This window comes from Homo sapiens, chromosome 9, assembly GCF_000001405.40.
Source record: "Homo sapiens chromosome 9, GRCh38.p14 Primary Assembly".
Classification (NCBI taxonomy): Eukaryota; Metazoa; Chordata; class Mammalia; order Primates; family Hominidae; genus Homo; species Homo sapiens.
This window is the reverse complement of record NC_000009.12, coordinates 33500240-33520246: the sequence shown is the minus strand read 5'-3', so window position 1 is coordinate 33520246 and position 20007 is coordinate 33500240. Positions and strand designations below refer to the sequence as shown.

The 20007-nt window shown below is 40.3% G+C and overlaps 2 pseudogenes across 1 annotated transcript; both read left to right on the top strand.

The window, feature by feature from the left end:
* On the top strand, nt 7538-7721 carry VN1R47P (vomeronasal 1 receptor 47 pseudogene; annotated as a pseudogene).
* SUGT1P1 (SUGT1 pseudogene 1) lies at nt 9081-19491 on the top strand (annotated as a pseudogene). Its single transcript, NR_003667.3, is given in 7 exon segments — nt 9081-9428; nt 9536-9627; nt 10911-11117; nt 11818-11884; nt 15656-15709; nt 16404-16420; nt 19457-19491. The product of NR_003667.3 is annotated as an SUGT1 pseudogene 1 (transcript).
* The last annotated feature ends 516 nt before the right edge of the window (nt 19492-20007 follow it).

Genomic DNA, 20007 nt, shown 5'->3' with positions numbered 1-20007 from the left:
CTGTAATCCCAGCTACTTGGGAGGCTGAGGCATGAGAATCGCTTGAACCCAGGAGGTGGAGATTGCAGTGAGCCGAGATCACGCCACTGCACTCCAGCCTGGGTGACAGAGCGAGACTCCGTCTCAAAAAAAAAAAAAAATTACAATATGTATCTTTATCACAGTCTACCTTGAATTTATATACATATATATATATATATATATATATTTTTTTTTTTTTTTTTTGAAATGGAGTCTCACTCTGTCGCCCAGGCTGGAGTGCAGTGGCACAATCTTGGCTCACTGCAAGCTCCACCTCCTGGGTTCGTGCGATTCTCCTGCCTCAGCCTCCCGAGTAGCTGGGACTACAGGCGCCCACCACCATGCCCGGCTAATTTTTTGTATTTTTAGTAGAGACGGGGTTTCACCATGTTAGCCAGGATTGTCTTGATCTCCTGACCTCATGATCCCTCCATCTTGGCCTCCCAAAGTGCTGGGATCAGAGGCGTGAGCCACCGCGCCCAGCCTGAATTAATATTTTAACACTTTTGTTAAAGACAAGAGCCTTAAAATGGTATAATTCCAATTACTCTCTTCTGTCCTTTATGTTAGTTTTGTCACTTATTTTTTTTCTGCATGTTTGTTGTGAGTTATCAGGAATTATTGTTGGATTTTGCCAAAATTCTTTTATGTCTTTTGACATGATTCTATTGATTTTCTACTTTATTTATATGATGTACAATGTTCGTTGTGTTTTAGATAGTAAGCCAAATTTGCATTACTAGTATTAATTCCAGAGACATGTAGTGTATGATCGTTTTACATACTGTTGGATGTAATTTGCATCCAGGTTGTTAAATACATTTGGACGTAAACTTATGAGAGATATTGTTTGGCACTTTCCTTTTCTTCTGATGTCTCCATCCTGCTTTGGTATCAAGCTAATACTGGCTTTCTAAAATGTTTTGGCATATCCTCTCTTCTGTATTTGCTGGAAATGTTTGTGTATGACTGGTATACTTTCCTCCTTAAATGTTAAATGGAATTCATGGGTTAAGGCATCTAGCACTACACTCTTCTTCAGGGGGAATATATTTAATTACTAATTCAATTTTTTTTTACTTTATATACATCTATTAAGATTTTCTATTTGTTCTTTAGTCAATTTTGCTACTTAATGTCTTTATCGGAATTTGCTTATTTCATTTATGTTGCTAAACTTGTTGACATTTGTTGTTCCTCATAATATCTTAAATTCCTTTAAAATTTCTGTTGAATCTGTTGTGAGGTTCTATCTTTCATTCTTTTTTTTTTTTTCTCAGACAGAGTCTTGCTCTTGTCACCCAGGCTGGATCCAGCATCCTGCTACTGGATATATAGATAAAAGAGAAATATTATATCTTTGAGATATGGAATCAACCTAAGTGCTGCTCTAAGCATACAAGTGCAGATATCTTTTTTATATAGTATGTCTCCTTTATGTATATATTCAGTAGCAGGATTGCTGTATTCCATATCTTTATGATAGCAAAGATATGAAATCAATCTAAGTGTCCATCAATAGATGATTGGCTAAAGAAAATGTGGTATGCATACAGTGGAATACTATTCAGCCATAAAAACAACAAAATCCACAATATTCTCATGTAACAAATCTGCACATGTATCCCTATGTCTAAAATAAACTTCAAAATTTTAAAAAGAATGAAATTATGTCTTTTGCAGCAACATGGATGGAAATGAAGGTCATTATCTTAAGTAAAATAACAGAAACAGAAAGTCAAATACTGCATGTTCTCACTTATAAATAGGAGCTAAATAACACATACTCATGGACACAGAGTGGAATAATAGTCATTGGAGGCTCAGAAGGGTGTGTGAGTCAGAGGGGTGAGGGTTGAGAAATTTCATAGTGGATATAATGTGCACTCTTCAGGGAATGTTTACACTACGAGTCCAGACTTCACCACTACCCAGTATGTTCGTGTAACAAAACTACACTCGTACCCCTTAAATTTATACAAATACAAATTAAAACATGCATCAGAGAGGACCTTAATTTTTTTCTCTTTTTCTCTTTCTTTCTTTCTTCTTTTTGACAGAGTTTTGCTCTTGTCACCCAGGCTGGAGTGCAGTGGTGTGATCTCAGCTCACTGCAACCTCTGCCTCCCGGATTCAAGTGATTCTCCTGCCTCAGCCTCGAGAGTAGCTGGGATTCCAGGCCTGAGCCGCCACTAGTAGAGTTGGGGTTTTAACATGTTGGCCAGGCTGGTCTTGAACTCCTGACCTCAGATGATCTGCCTGCCTTGGCCTCCCAAAGTGCTGGGATTACAGGCGTGAGTCACTGCGCCTGGCCAAAATCAGTTATCAATTAATTTTTAAACATGTAACTAGCAGGGGTCCCAGTAGTGGGGGGACCATTATTGCATGCTTTGAAATTTGAGGGTCCCATTCTGCTTATTAATCTCTAGGGAGCAAAAAACAAAACAAAAAAAACAGAACAAACCAAAAAACTCTACGATGCCTATCAGGGAATGTTTAAGATTTGTACCAGTGTTCTGTGTTACAATGTGTTTGACACAGAATTTTGTTTTACTTGATGGGCAGGCTGTGATCTAATTGCCTAGTTGTGACCAATTTTTCCCTAGATGCATAAATTTTTTTCTGAGACTAGCTGACCACTAGGGGTCACCTTGCCTGCCTGTGTACTGGTTAATTAATCCTTACCCAACAGACTTTTCCTTCCAAGACTTTTTCTTCCAAGACTGTCCTAATAGCTTTTTAATTTTTTTTGTTTGTTTGTTTTTGCTTTTGTTTTTTAGACAGAATCTTGCTCTGTTGCTCAGGGTGGAGTGCAATGGCATAATCTCGGCTTACTGCAACCTCTACCTCCCAGATTCAAGTAATTCTCCTGTCTCAGCCTCCTGAGGAGCTGGGACTACAGGCGTGCCCACCATGCCCAACTAATTTTTGTATTTTTTCTAGAGAAGGGGTTTTCCCATGTTGGTCAGACTGGTCTGGAACTCCTGACCTCAGGTGTTCCACCCGCCTCGGCCTTCCAAAGTGCTGTAATTGCAGGCATGAGCCACCACACCTGGCCCCTAATGGCTTCGAAAGGGTTGACTCAGGCCCACCTCTATAGAAAGTAGATTTTGCTTTCAAGAAACATTTAGGGCCAGGTGCAGTGGCTCATGCATGTAATTTGGGAGGCTGAGGCAGTAGGATCCACTGAGGCCGGGAGTTCAGGACTGGCCTGGGCTACATAGTGAGACCCTGTCTCTACGAGATACAAAAAAAAAACAAAAAATTAGCCGGGTGTGCTGGCATGTGCCTATAGTCCCAGCTGCTGGGGAGGCTGTGGTGAGAGGATCACTTGAGCCCAGGAGGCCGAGGCTACAGTGAACTATGATTGCACCACTGCACTCTTGCCAGGGTGACAGAGCAAGACCCTGTCTAAAAATATGTATATATTTTACACTAGTTCCTTATCAATTTTTTAAATATGATTTTCTGCATAATCCTGGCAATGTCTTTTTTTAAATCTATGAACATGAACACATAACATTCTGATTGATTCTGTTAACATAATTTATTACATTAATGGATTTCCAAGTGTTGACTCTCACTTGCATTTCTGGCACAAAAGGCAGTGGGATTATGATGTAATGTTGCAATGTGCTCACACAGTGGCTTCTAGTGCTGACACAATGGCTTCTAATATTTAAAAAGTCTACATTTATATTCACATGTCCTATACTTTTGTAATACATGGCTCAAACCAGGGTAAGATCTCATATCACCTTTATGCACCCTTCCTGAAAACTATTGGGAAGATTGACTAAGACTTGAATAGTTTAGGTAGCGTCAGGTTATCAGTTAGTTTACTAGTAGAATTTCTCTCTGGATCATATGAACTTGGTGCTTCTGTGTATTTGAGGGACTCTGATAAATGTCTCTTTTTCTTTTATAAATATTGTACAATTTAGAATCTCTATCTCTCTAGGGGTAAACGTTAATAAAATATATATTTATAGAATATATAACATCTACATTTGATTAATTTACATTGGAATGCCCAACATTGTTCCCATTTATTTTTCATATCAGTATTTGACTTCAAGTTGCTGTTTGCACTGTAATCTGTTCACATATCCTTCTCAAGTTCCTCGCATGATCCCGTCTCTCCGTTCACAGTGAAATAATAGTTTGGCTCAGGAATCTGAGGATTAACAGAAAATTGGGTTTTCTGTAGGGGACCATCTCAGGAAAGCACAGACTCCAGTAAAACATGTGCACTCTGCTGCCAGCCCCTAGTCTAGACTCACCCCTTCCTGCTCCCTCCCTAGGAGCCCCTTCCTGTTGCCTCCAGGGATTATGGAAAGCAACAGCCTCTGCCAAACACTCTCATCTTGCTAGAGATGCCCACTAGAATGTGGGGAAAAGAAAGAGAGATCAGACTGTTACTGTGTCTATGTAGAAAGAAGTAGACATAAGAGACTCCATTTTGTTCTGTACTAAGAAAAATTCTTCTGCCTTGAGATGCTGTTAAATCTGTAACCCTAGCCCCAACCCTGTGCTTGCAGAGACATGTGCTGTGTTGACTCAAGGTTTAATGGATTTAGGGCTATGCAGGATGTGCTTTGTTAAACAAGTGCTTGAAGGCAGTATGCTTGTTAAAAGTCATCACTACTCTCTAATCTCAAGTACCCAGGGACACAATACACTGTGGAAGGCTGCAGGGGCCTCTGCCTAGGAAAGCCAGGTATTGTCCAAGGTTTCTCCCCATGTGATAACCTGAGACATGGCCTCGTGGGAAGGGAAAGACCTGACCATCCCCCAGCCCAACACCCGTAAAGGGTCTGTGCTGAGGAGGATTAGTGAAAGAGGAAGGCCTCTTTGCAGTTGAGACAAGAGGAAGGCATCTGTCTCCTGCTCGTCCCTGGGCAATGGAATGTCTCGGTGTAAAACCCGATTGTATGTTCCATCTACTGAGATAGGAGAAAACCACCTTAGGGCTGGAGATGAGACATGCTGGTGGCAATACTGCTCTTTAATGCACCGAGATGTTTGTGTATGTGCACATCAAAGCACAGCACCTTTTCTTAACCTTGCTCATGACACAGAGACCTTTGTTCACATGTTTTCCTGCTGACCCTCTCCCCACTATTACCCTATTGTCCTGCCACATCCACCTCTCCGAGATGGTAGAGATAATGATCAATACATACTGAGGGAACTCAGAGACTGGTGCTGGCACGGGTCCTCCGTATGCTGAGTGCTGGTCCCCTGGGCCCACGTTTCTTTCTCTATACTTTGTCTCTGTGTCTCTTTCTTTTCTCAGTCTCTCGTTCCATCGGATGAGAAACAACCACAGGTGTGGAGGGGCTGGCCCCCTTCACAGAAAATTGTACTTGTTTTTGGTAATTGGTAACTGGGACAAAGTTTATTGAAATATCTTTAGCTCCCCAAATGTGCACTGTCATTGTTGCCACAGGTGAACTGCTCATTGCAGTGATGTGAAAAGGTGAGGTCACAGGACACAAACCCATATCTGAGACCTGGATGCCTCCCTCCACGCACTCACCCACTGGCTGTCCTGAGCATCACCCTGCACCTGTTGTCCCAGCAACAAGGGAAAAATAAGGTGAGTATTTTCCATTTCAGTCTAGAAGGCATAGCCTGCAAGGGAAGGAAGTGTGCTGGGAGATGGAGCAGGGCTTTTGTCTGGAAAACAGGATTCTGGTCTAGAAACTAAGTCAGTGCCAATGCAATGCAGGGAAGGGGAAATCATCACTGGGTCATGGGCTGCACTCGTGGAGAAGGAATGGAGGTCAAGACCATAAACCAGCCCCTAACTGCTTCTCATTTAATGTAATCCTCACTGTTCATCATTGTTGGTTTGAATAAAGTCATGAAATCTTTTTTTTTTTTTTTTGAGACAGGTCTATTGCTCAGGCTGGAGTGAAGTGGTGCAATTGTGGCTCACTGCAGCCTTGAATACCTCAGCTCAAACGATCCTCCCACCTCAGCCTCCTGAGTAGCTGGGACCACAGGCATGTGCCACCACACTCAGCACACTTAAAAAAAATTTTTGTAGAGACAGGTTCTCCCTATGTTGCTCAGGCTGGTCTCCTGGCCTCAAGCAATCCTCTTGCTTCAGCCTCCCAAAGTGTTGGGATTATAGGCATAAGCCATTCACACCCAGCCTATTTTTAAGTTCTCTAATATAATTTGGAAATTAATTTGCCAGCTGCCCTGTCTTATCTGCATGAACATTTCCAAGATTTGTAGAGGTGTTTCTATGACACCTCCATGCCTGTGATCATGTATAAGATGTAGCTGATTGAATTACCTTATTCTGTTCAGAAATAGTAAATATAGTGTTTTCACCAACTCTGTGCACAGAATATACCAAATGGAGACCATAAGTGTGTCATGACAGAAAAAATCTATTGTCTCTTTATTATGGTGAGACTCCTTTCCCTCATGAAATCAGCAAAGAAAAGTAAATGAATTTAGCTTTTTGTGTTAGAAAAAAACATTATGCTCTTCAGCGGTTTTCAGAATTGCATTATTTTTGATCTTTCCTCTTGTTTAAGAATGTTTTCATGTCATCCCCAGGCTCAGTGCTCATGTTGGTACTATTTTGGGTCAATGTATAATCATTACCTCCAGTTTTTCTTGTGCATAATGGACTTGAGTTTTAATATAGTGAACCATCCTGACATTGAAATACTGTATTTGATATTTTCATATTCACAAGTCCTCATTTTCTTTCTACACTCATGGTAATTTAGTTTCTCCTCTGCAGTGTTTTCCCTCCTACTTGTTTTCCTGCTCCCTTGCTTAGCACATGGTCATTCCATTATGCCCTCCTTCTTGGTTAAGATGGAAAAGAACCTCCTCTTTTAATTCCATTTGTGCATTTAAGAAATTCCATTTGGTTGTATATAATTATTCTTCTAAGATTATGCTAAGATCAGCACATCTATATTTTACTTGGATCTCTGATCACTATAGATGATATTTGCCTATAAAACAAGCATTGGTGTTTTCAATCACAATCAAAAAGAAAAAATTCAAAACGATTCTTTTAAAAACTCACAAGAGATACAAAAATATTTTTTAAATACATGGATTGTCTTAAAAATTATTTCTCTCTGTTGCTATGACAGCATAGTGGTCAAGTCCATTGTCAGCTTCTGACACTGCCTCTTACAAGGAGGTGACTTTGGAAATGTCATTCAGCCTTCCTGTGCCCGAAATCACCTCACCTGTCAAATGGGAACAATAAAGCACTTCAAAGAATTGTTGTAAAAGTTCTATGTAAAACACTGTTACAGCACTCTTATGCTGGGAATATATATCTATACACACATATATTTTTATAGCGAAACTCTCAGGAAGAGGAAAATGAAGTTTAATAGGAAATTAATGGCTTGAAAACAATGGTACATGGAAAAGAGTGGCTTTCAGTTGCCATAGTACAACAGGCCTCTTGTTTTCACGCCAGATCCTCTCACTCTGAATAGGATGATCAGTCATTGAAAAAAGAAAAATGGCCTCCAGGGATGTGGCAATAGGAATGATCTTCTTATCTCAGACCACAGTAGGATTCCTGGGCAATTGCTTTGTTCTTCACCATTATAGTTATTTATTTCACCAGATGCACATTAAGGTCCACAGATCTGATTCTGCAGCACCTGACTGTAGCCAACTCCTTGGTCATTCTCTCTAAAAAATGCTCCTATCCTTGTCAATGCTTGGTATTGGAAATCCTTTTAATTTAAGTCATTCTGGTGGTAGTTTTATTATCTCATTATAATTTCAATGTCCACGATACAGCTATTTTTTTTTTTTTTTTGAGACAGAGTCTGACTCTGTTGCCCAGGCTGGAGTGCAGTGGTGCCATCTCGCTCACTGCAACCTCTGCCTCCCAGGTTCAAGTGTTTCCTGTGCCTTGGCCTCCTTAGTAGCTGGGATTATAGGTGTGCACCACCAAGCCCAGGTAATTTTTGTATTTTTAGTAGAGATGGGGTTTTGTCATGTTGCCCAGGCTGGTCTCCAACTCCTGGCCTCAAGGGATCCACCCGCCTCGACCTCCCAAAGTGTTGAGATTACAGGCATGAGCCACTGTGCTCAGCCATGACATAGCTATTAATATAGAACTTTTCATGTGGGCCTATAGGTCAATCTAGGAATTTGCCCTTTCAGAGGCTATTCATATTTATATGCATATTGGTGCATGGCAGGGGTTGGTGTATACACCTTGGTGTATGGCTGAGCCATAAATGGAGCATACCTGAGAATAACCCTATTCTAAGTGTGTTTGGAGTCCCAGGCTAAGGAATCCAGGAGTAGCCAACACTGAGATTCACTACTTACCTATGAAGGACAGCCATACCCCTGCCCCATCCCTTGGAACACAGCCTGTACAGGTGATCAAGGCCCTTTATTTTGGGTTAAATGGAGACTGCTAGAAGGAGGGTTCTAAGTGAAAATGCGATATGCTATATGGACTACATGCTTTTTTTTTTTTATACAAACGGTAGCGTTTCTCCAGGCCAGCCCACCACCACTGGACCACCCCTGTATGTAACTCCTGAATAAACGTTATGTTTCCTTCACTGGTTCTGCCTCTCCTATAGTGTCATCCCAATCGGAATCAATGGGGATCCGGAAGGACAACCGGCCATTTAGATAACATTTGAAAATTAACCAATGTAATTGGTCACATTGTAACATTATTATTAAAATATTATTTTAAAATTATTATTATATAACAGTAACATATTATTATTAAAAATACATATGAACATTTCAATAAAGGTAGAAAAAGCACTTGATATTGAATGCTTTCCTCTTGATTTTACAACCAAGACAAGGAAGTCCATTATCACTATTTCTATTCAATAGTGGACATACTAGCCAGCAACAAAACTAAAAGGTATAAAGATTACAGGAAAGTTAAACCATCTCTATTCACAGACTGCAAGATTGTAATCACATAAATTCCAAAAGACTCTACAGACTCTACAGTCCCACGGCAGCCCCTTCCTCCGCGCCGCGGCGGCGCCTCCGGCCCACGTCACGCTCGCGCCATTGTTTCCCAGCCGCTGCTCGCTGGGACCCCGCCAGCCCTCGAGCGCGGCCATTCGCCGCGTTCTGCCCTCTCCCCCCTTTCCTCACGCTGGTGGTGGCCCTTTCCTCAGTCCTGCTGATGTCCTCCAGCTGATTCCAGGCTGTTCCCGGCCACCCCTGAGGCCGTCCTTTCGCTTCTTGTAAAAGCCTCCCCGCCTCCTGAGCTCCCTCGGTCGCCTCCCGAGAAGCCAACGGGCCTCTCTGGTGGAGCGTTAGGTTGACAGCGTTTTAGCAGGACCGCGAGAAACCGGGGAGATCCTCTTACGAGGAAAAACTCCAAGATTACATCCCTGTTATCTTTCCTCCAAGTAGTTTCTGATCATAAGTTATTTGTTTAAAAATGATGTTTTAATTAGAATTTATTTGATGGCTTTTAAAAAACTTTTACTGACACTCAACATGTTTGTTTTTGTAGGAGCTGACTAAGGCTTTGGAACAGAAACCAGATGATGCACATATATTATCGTCAAAGAGCTTATTGTCACATTCTTCTTGGGAATTACTGTGGTAATTTTTCTTATAAAGTATATTGCCCCTTTTTAATAAGTTACTTATACATTTTACCCATGACCAATTAATCAAATAAAATAAAGGTTGTCTTTGAGGATTTTTGAGTTGGTCTTTCATACAAGGTAAAGTAGCTCAAGTGTGACAGACATGTTGAGCAACACCTATTTAAATTTTATGGATGTCTCTTTTTTCGTTCAGTGGGTGGATAATGTATATAGGTTTCATTCGTAGTTATTGAGTAGGCTGATAAAGAATAGTATCACATTTACTGTTTAACAGAGTATTAAAATGACATGCTCTTCTTTGTATTTTTTTATAAAAAAGAATGTGGCATGGTGGCTCACGCCTGTAATCCCAGCACTTTGGGAGGCCAAAGCGGGAGGATCACATGAGCCCAAGAGTTCGAGTCTAGCCTGGACAACATAGCAAGACCCTATCTATATTAAAAAAATAATGTATTCCTGTACTGTGTAACTTTAAAAATTATTCTGATGAAGAATCTGGATAGGGAAAAACTGAATATCTTTTTTTTTTTAGATGGAGTTTTGCTCTTATTGCCTAGGCTGGAGTGCAGTGGCACAATCTCATCTCACTGCAGCCTCTGCCTCCTAGGTTCAAGTGATTCTCCTGCTTCAGCCTCCCAGGTAGCTGGGACTACAGGTGTATGCCACTATGCCTGGCTAATTTTGTATTTTTAGCAGAGAGGGGGTTTCACCATGTTGGCCAGGCTGGTCTCAAACTCCTGACCACAGGTGATCCACCCACCTCAGCCTCTCAGAGTGCTGGGATTACAGGCGGGAGCCACTGCACCCCGCCAAATTACATAAGTGATGCTAATGAGAAAAGGAGATGAATTTTGTCACACAGCTTTATTCACTGACCGAAGAGCTTTAAGAAGAAAGCTAAATGTTAAGCCAAAAGGAAGGTACAAGAGTAATATTTATTTGAATTCTGTGTTGGATTAGCTTTTCCTAATTTAAAACCATTTGGCGTTTCTATTAACTCGAAAACTTGGAAATCTAAAACTGATCAGTATTCTGTGTGTGTTTGCTAGAATCTGTAAATAACTGACAAAAAACATCTTTTTCTTTCTTTCTTTTTTTTTTTTTGAGACGGAGTCTCACTCTGTTGCCCAGGCTGGAGTACAGTGGCGCAGTCTTGGCTCACTGCAACCTCTGCCTCCCAGGTTCAAGCGATTCTCCTGCCTCAGCCTCCTGAGTAGCTAGGACTACAGGCGCGTGCCACTGCATCCGGCTAATTTTTAATTTTTTTTTTCATAGAGACGGGGTTTCACTGTGTTAGCCAGGCTGGTCTCGATTTCTTGACCTCGTGATCCACCTGCCTCGGCCTCCCAAAGTGCTGGGATTACACGCGTGAGCCGCCATGCCCAGCCAGAAACGCATCTTTTTCTACATAGTTGCTGTTGCTGATGCAAAGAAGTCTCGCGAATTCAATCCAAATAATTCCACTGCTGTGCTGAGAAAAGGGTATGCAATAGCTACTCTTTTTGTTGAGCTTGGACTGTAAATAGGAGATGTGTAATTTGTTGAATGAGTTCAGTGTAAGCTTTATAAGTAGTAAAATTCTGTATTTATAGCAGAGATATGATTCAATTTTAAATATGAAGTTATAGTTCTATTATTTTGTTAACCATAGTATGTGATGGAGATCTATACTTAATATATTTAAAAATAGCGATGATTGAAATAACTGCAAGGTATAGATGAAACTGATGGATTTCACATTCTTTTTTTATTTAAAATTTGGAATTTACCATATTTAACTGACTAGAGGACATCCTATTCTTCAACCAAGCTGAATGGGCTACGCTTAATGGTGTGAAAGCTCTGTATCTATGTGCTTTATATCCCAACTTGTTTCTGTTGATAAGTGTAACTTTATTCTTTAAGTAAGAAACTGCTTTAATTCCTTTGTATGTATTTTGGAATAAGCAGGTATGTACAATTAAAGTGAAATTCCTTCTGAAGTAAGTTCTAAAATTGAATTTTACTGGAAATTGTACTAGATGTTAACAGTATTTTAGAAAGTCTCTTGGCTTACTAACATATACTTAAAAATAAATTTTTTCTTTCAACAATAGAAAATACTAAGATGTTTTCATTTAGAAAGAAGGCTATTTTCCAGATCTTGTATGTGTGTTAATTTGTTTTAAATATGTTCATGCAGGATATGTGAATACCATTTAAAAAACTATGCTGCTGCTCTAGAAACTTTTATAGGAGGACAAAAATTAGTAAGTATTAAATTATGGTTTTATAAACTTACCTATTTCTGTCTTAAATACCAAAGCTGAATTTTGTTAATGTTAATCTCAAGTTAATTACAGAAACCCAATACCTGTTTTTCTCACCGTAATTACATTTCATATTGATCGCAGATATGAGATCACTTAAAATTGGTTAAATTAGCCTTTTAGCATTTAAACCACAGATAAACTTACCATTAGAAGTAAAAAACTATATGGAAACACTTAACATGCTCTCTCTACTTAGTCTGGCTTTGTTTTTTTCTTTTCTTTATTTTATTTTATTTTTTTTTTTGAGACAGTCTCGCACTGTCACCCAGGCTGGAGTGCAGTGGCGTGATCTTGGCTCACTGCAACCTCCGCCTCCTGGGTTCAAGTGATTCTCCTGCCTCAGCCTCCCGAGTGGCTGGGACTACAGGCGTGTGCCACCATGCCCAGCTAATTTTTGTATTTTTAGTAGAGGTGGGGTTTCACAATGTTGGCCAGGATGGTCTCGATCTCTTGACCTCGTGTTCCACCCGCCTCGGCCTCCCAAAGTGCTGGAATTACAGGTGTGAGCCACCGGCGCCTGGCCTGGCTTTGTTTTTTCTAATGGAGAAATGAAAGTTTAATTTGCTTTCTTGGTCAGAAGTCTGTTCATTTTAAGTTATTAAGAATGCTGAGATGGGAAATCTTAACAATAAGGTTTTTATGGAGAAGTGAAGTGTACATTTGGATAAATTATGAGAGAGTACAGAAGAAACCCAGCGTTTTGAGAGTATTGTTAGTTTTTAATGTTATATTTTTGAGGGGAATATATGAAAATTATCACAGCATTGTGGATATTTAGACATATATAGGAATTGTGAGAGCAAGAATTTTAAAATCGGAAAAATACTAAGAGGTTGTGAGTAATCCCAGGAAATTGTAGACTACATAATCCTACTTGTACTATTATTTTATCTTTATGTTATGATAGAGTTTTATCACAATTCTGTAAAGCAGTGGTTCTTAACTGGAAACAATTGTGTCCCAGGAAACTTTAGGCAATGTTTGAAGAGATTTTTGATTATCATGATTGGTGGATGGGGGATGAGCTACTGACATCTAATGAGTATAAACCAGGAGGTGCTACGAAACAGCCCATAATGGCCAGGACAGTCCTGCCCAACAGAGAAGTATCTGGTTCAAAACGTCAGTAGTGCTGAGTTAAGAAACTCTGCTCTTACGTATTATGTGTTAAATTCTAACTCTGTACTGCTTTGAATGTTTGCTTTTCTGCTGTATACCTACTCAAAAAAGGGATTTTAGGCCTGATTACACAAATGGAAGCTACAAATTAGGAAAGGAAAGGACTGGGTGACAGGGCTTATTGTCAAATTTGCTTATCCCAGTTTCAGTTTTGGTATGTGAATAATAGGGTTATTCAGTCAGGAAGACAGCATATCTACACTCCTAGGAAATTCCAGAGTCAAGTTATCTAGTGCCTTGATACATACTTGAAACCCCTGAAAAAACATGAGTCATACCATCTTCTACATTTTCTTTTTTTTGAGACAAGGTCTCACTCTGTTGCCCTGGCTGGAATGCAGTGATGTGATCTTGGGTCACTGCAACCTCCGCCTCCTGAGCTCAAGTGATTCACCCACCCCAGCCCCCCAAGTCACTGGGGCTATAGGCACGTGCCACCACATCTGACGAAATTGTGCTTTTTTTTCACAGAGACAGGGTTTCGCCCTGTTACAAAGGCTGGTCTTGAACTCCTGGGCTAAAGTGATCCACCTGCCTCAGCCTCCCAAAGTGTTGGGGTTACAGGCGTGAGCCTTCATGCCTGACCTCATCCTCTGCATTTCTAGGCCTTATTACTTTTAAGAGCAATAGAAAAGTTTCCTGCCTAAATTCTTTTCTTTTTTTTTCTTCTTTTTGGACCTGGGGGCACAGAGCCTTACTCTTTCACCCAGACTTGAGTGCAATGGCACCATTATAGTTCACTGCAGCCTTGAATTCCTGAGCTCAAGCTGTCCTTCTGCCTCTGCCTCCTGAGTAGCTGGGAATACAGGCACGTGCCATCACACTAAGCTAATTAAACATTTTTGTGTAGAGATGAGGTCTTGCTACATTACCCAGACTGGTCTCTGAACTCCTGGCCTCAAATGATCCTACTGCCTTGGCCTTCCAAAGCTCTGGCATTACAGACATGAGCCACTGCACTTGGCCCCTAAATTCTTTTCTTGAGTTTTCTTTCTTTCTTTCTTTCCCTTCTTTCATTTTCTTTCCTTCCTTTCCTTCCTTCCTTTCTTTTTTTTTTTTTTTTTTTTTTTGAGACAGAGTCTCGCCCTGTCTCCCAGCCTGGAGTGCAGTGGTGCATTCTCGGCTCACTGCAACCTCTGCCTCCTGGGTTCAAGTGATTCTCCTGCCTCAGCCTCCAGAGAAGCTGGGATTACAGGTGCGTGCCACCACAACCAGTTAATTTTTTTGTCTTTAGTAGAGATGGGGGTTTCACCATGTTGGCCAGGCTGGTCTCAAACTCCTGACTTCGTGATCCACCCGCCTCAGCCTCCCAAAGTGCCGGGATTACAGATGTGAGCCACTGCGCCCGGCCGAATAATATCTTAATATCATGCCATTGACATTTATTCTGTAATTACTTCAGAGGTGGCCTTCAGAAGAAGGCCTCTTTGGTAAAATTGCTATTGAGGATATTTCACTAAAAAACAAATTTATCTTTAAATTCAAATCCAGGAAAAATTTAAGTTAAACTTTTAGGCTTCTATTTTTATCAGACAGGGTACAAAATTTATAACTCAGAATATTACCTTTTCCCCTCTTTGTGTGATAGACTGCTTGGTTTTAGTTACTGATTATTTAAAATAATAAGTTATTCAAACCCTCTTCCCTAGAATATAGTGTGTGTGAGAGAGTATATTTAAAATTTTTATTAAGGTCCATGTAGTTGTATTTCTTTTATAAATTAGTAAATTAGAAAATTTTGTTTTAAGAGATTTTTAGTTTAAAATTTCCAGATTACTCTTGGCTGGAGTTAACTTGAATTAGTAGGCTTTTATTTAGAGTACTTTCAAGGTTTTTAACGTATTTCACTATGCACTGTGTATAAATGTAATCATTGTTCTGTGTCTCCAGAAATGAATAATTTGTTTATGCATACATTTACACTATTATCTGTAAGTATATAATTTATCACCTGTAGCCTTTTGACCCCCATGTAACTTGGATATATGAGAAAACTTCACAGAATTTAAAGATACTTCTTGGTGTTGGTAGGAAAGGGATGGGAACAGATAAAGCCACTGAGAGAATAGTGGACTGAATAGGTAGCCGCATTGAAGAGCGAGTTGGGACTGGGAAAGGCTTATGGACCTCAACTCAGCTCCCAGTTACCAAGCCTCCTCCCCACCCTAACTAATGGCATTTTGGGAGTCTGATTTAGATCTGACTTTGTTGTGTGGGTGAGGAAGCTTCTCTAAGGGCAGAGGGATTGAGGGAAATGTACATTATTTATATCTATGAAATTAGTGAGGTTGACTGTAGTTAAAATTAATTTTAAAAAATCAAAATGTTTCAGGATGAAGAACTAAATGTTAAACTATTGGTATGTTTATAGCTATAACAGAGTTTGCCATAAGTTCTGTTAAGACAGGTTTTATTCACTGCTGACTCCCCAGTGCCTAGAACAGTGCCTGGGATGCAGTAGGTATTTAATAAGTATTTGCTGATTAATAGGTTATGCAGATGAGTGATGTGATAGGTTTTTCTTTCTAGGTGCAGATGCTAATTTCAGTGACTGGATTAAAAGGTGTCAAGAAGCTCAGAATGGTATGTAGATCTCCCTTGGTATTTCAATTTAAAAAGAAGCAAACATTTGAAATTTTTTGGTTTAAACAAATTTGTTTTTACCTTTATAATTTATTTTAAATAGTACATGTTTCCTTAAATGTAGACTTCCAAAAATATACTGTTTTTTGCCTAGCTTCTTAGGTTGAAAAGGAGATTTGGGTGGATTGCTGGTATGGCATATCAGTGAGAAACTACTAAGGAGTCTAGGCTGGGCACGGTGGCTCACGCCTGTAATCCCAGCATTTTGGGAGGCTGAGGCGGGCGGATCACGAGGTCAGGAGATTGAGACCATCCTGGGCAACATGGTGCAACCCCGTCTCTGCTAAGAAAATACAAAAATTAGCCGGGCGTGGTGGTGCGTGCCTGTAGCCCCAGGTACTCGGGAGCTAAGGCAGGAGAATCGCTTGAACCCGGGAGGCGGAGGTTGCAGTGAGCTGAGATCACGCCACTGCACTCCAGCCTGGGCGACAGAACGAGGCTCTGTCTCAAAAAAAGAAATTACTAAGGAGTCTAAAATGAATTCAGGAGGCAAAATGAACCCACTTTTCTTTAGTTGAAAGGTATGGAGAATTGGCTTGCTTAATCAGTATGTTTGTGCAATAAAAATCATATAAATACCTTTGCCTTTAAATGTGCTGTTAACTGAAAATGCTTCCTTTTTATGTTTTAATAGGCTCAGAATCTGAGGTGGTAAGTCCAGAGTTTTCATTCTTCATGTTTTTACTTACTTAGGTTAAATTTCAAGTACCAAGTATATTTGAGACAGGACACAGGATGAACTCTTTGTCAGTTAAATACTAAGCAATTCCATTTAAGTACTGGTTCCTCTAGGAACTGAAATAAAACCATTTTTTCATAAATATGGAAGTTTCTAGTCATGAAATTTATTGGGCTATTTTAATGAATTTATTGTGTGGTTCAAATCTATTTGGTATGTTTTAGTATGGTCAAAATGATTATTTATCTGTTCCTTACTAAAACCTTATTACATTTATTTAGGTCCAACAGTTTGAATCACTTGTAGGGCTTTTTATGATAGGCTAAGACAAAAGTTAAGGAAAATTGGAAATGTTTATCTTTAATTCAGTATAATGTTTATTGTTTTGGGCATGAAGACCTTCAAGTCTTTTCAGTTATTAAAAATTATGGTGGAATTGAATAAAAGTAACTTTTAGTTTTTTTTTTTTTTAAAGACAGGGTCTTGCTCTGTTACACAGGCTGGAGTGCAGTGGTGCCATCATAGCTCACTGCAGCCTCAAACTCCTGGGCTCAAGCAGTCTTCCTACCTCAGCCTCCCAAGTAGCTGGGACTACAGGTGCATGTCACCCCACCAAGCCCCCTAATATATTCTATTTCTTTAAAAAGCTTTTTAGGCTGGGTGCAGATTCTTATGCCTGTAATCCCAGCACTTTGGGAGGCTGAGGCAGGCAGATCAGTTGAGGTCAGGAGTTCAAGACCAGCCTGGCCAACATAGTGAAACCCTGTCTCTACTAAAAATACAAAAATGAGCCAGATGTGGTGGTAGGCACCTGTAATCCCAGCTACTCAGGAAGCTGAGGTGGGAGAACCCCTGGAGCCCAGGAGGTGGAGGTTGCAGTGACCCAAAATCATGCCACTGTACTGCAGTCTGGGTGACAGAGCGAGACTCTGTCTTAAAAAAAAAAAAAAGAGAAAAAAGGACACACTACCATAAAGATGAATCTGCTTTTTTGTTTTGTTTTGTTTTGTTTTTTAATTACGCTAAATATTATGTTACTTCATTATGAGGGAACAATGAAAAATTACAGTTTAAGTAACTAAGTTTTAGATTCCTTTATATTTTCAAAAAGAAATAAAGCTATACAATAGAATTAATATTCAGAGAATATTTAACTATCACTCAAAATATGTAGATAATAGCCAGGCGTGGTGGCTCACACCTGTTAATACCACCACTTTTGGAGGCTGAGTTGGGCAGATCACCTGAGGTCAGGAGTTATACACCAGCCTGGCCAACATAGCGAAACCCTTTCTCCAGTAAAAATACAAAAATCAGCTGGTCGTGTTGGCACGCGCCTGTAATCCCAGCTACTGTGGAGGCTGCAGCAGAAGAGTCACTTGAGCCTGGGAGATGGAGGTTGCAGTGAGCTGAGATCATGCCACTGCACTCCAGCCTGGGTGACAGAGTGAGACTCTGCCTCAATTAAAAAAAATGTAGATAATAGTGTAATTTAGTAAGAAAAGTACTGAACTGAAAATCAAGAAATCTGACTCTGGATCTTTGCTAGCCCTGAGAATTTAGTCTAGGCACAAAATGACTATGACTAAATTTTTAGTACCTTTGAAAGGAAGTCCGTGGACCAAATGAGCTCTGGAGTCCTTTCAGCTGTAAAATTATATGAAGGTATAATGATAAATGAGTTCAGGCGAATAAATGATATAGGTAGGCTTTTTCCATGGCTACTCCTTTTTTATGTTTAATTAATTAATTAATTTTTGAGACAGAGACTCTCTCTGTTGCCCAGGCTGGGGTGCAGTGGCCCAGTCTCAGCTCACTGCAACATCTGCCTCTCTGGTTCAAGCGATTCTCCTCTCTCAGCCTCCTGAGCAGCTGGGATTACAGGCATGCGCCACCATGCATGGCTAATTTTTGTATTTTTAGTAGAGATGGGGTTTCACTATGTTGGCCAGGCTGGACCCAAACTCCTCACCTCAAGTGATCTGCCCGTCTCGGCCTCCCAGTGTGGGTGACAGTGAGACTCTGCCTCAATTTTTTTAAAAAATGTAGATAATAATGTAATTTAGTAAGAAAAGTACTGAACTGAAAATCAAGATATCTGACTCTGGATCTTGGCTTGCCCTGTGAACTTAGTCTAGGCACAAAATGACTATGACTAAATTCACAGTACCTTTGAAAGGAAGTCCGTGGACCAAATGAGCTCTGGAGTCCTTTCAGCTATAAAATTACATGAAGGTATAATGGTAAATGAGTTAATGTGAATAAATGATATAGGTAGGCTTTTTCCATCACTACTGATTTTTTTAATGTTTTATTTATTTATTTATTTGTTTATTTATTTATTTTTGAGACAGAGTCTCTCTGTTGCCCAGGCTGGAGTGCAGTGGTACAATCCCAGCTCACTGCAACCTCCACCTCCTGGGTTCAAGTGATTCTCCTGCCTCGGCCTTCTGAGTAGCTGGGACTACAGGTGCCTGCCACCATGCCCAGCTGATTTTTATATTTTTGACAGAGATGGGATTTCACCATTGTTGGCCAGGCTGGTCTCAAACTTCTGACCTTAAGTGATCCACCTGCCTTGGCCTCCCAAAGTGCTGGGATTGCAGGTGTGGGCCACGGCACCCGGCCACTACTCCTTTTTATACAAAGTCCTGCAGCAAACTGTGTTACTATTTATTAAGTTAAAGTTCTAAGGACATGTGAAGTTTCCTGTTGTGGAATAGGATCAGGGATGGCCTGTGTCATGAAGAATGGTAAGTAACTGGGCCTGCAGAAAGGAGACAGGTTCGGAGGGTTGGAGCAGGAAGTGCAAAGTGAAGTAGTTTTTTGCATCTAGCTAAGAAGGATCTGCCTATTTATTCATTTAAAGATTGTGAAGAACAGAGCTGGTTAATTATGAGGCAGATTTATGAAATAGCTGCTTGGGACAATAGAAAGTGAGAAAAGGGATGAAATCTTATCAAGTTTTTTTGTTTTTTTTGTTTGTTTGTTTTGTTTTTTTGAGACAGAGTTTCGCTCTTGTTGCCCAGGCTGGAGTGCAGCGGCATGATCTCAGATCATTACAACCTCCACCTCCTCGGTTCAAGCAATTCTCCTGCTTCAGCTTCCTGTGTAGCTGGGGTTATAGGCACACGCCACCATGCCTGGCTAATTTCTGTATTTTTAGTAGAAACGGGGGTTTCACCATGTTGACCAGGCTGGTCTCGAACTCCTGATCTCAGGTGATCCACCCACCTTGGCCTCCGAAAGTGCTGAGATTACAGGCGTGAGCTACCATGCCCGGCCCTTACCAGGATTTTGGTCTGCCTCTGGTCCTGTCCACATTGTGTAGAATTTGTTTAATAAAATAATTTTGAGTAATCAAGCACAAAACTCTAGGTGGATTTGAAAGGGAGATATTTCCGAAAATTATAAATTTGATTTTTTGGTGTATGTCTATCAAGAGATTGGTAATGCATGTCCATTTGAAGTAATTTGAGTGTGAATTAATGATAAATGACTTAAGAGCTTGTATTACTTAGCCATCTCATATATTGGTGGAAGAATAGCATGTGTGATA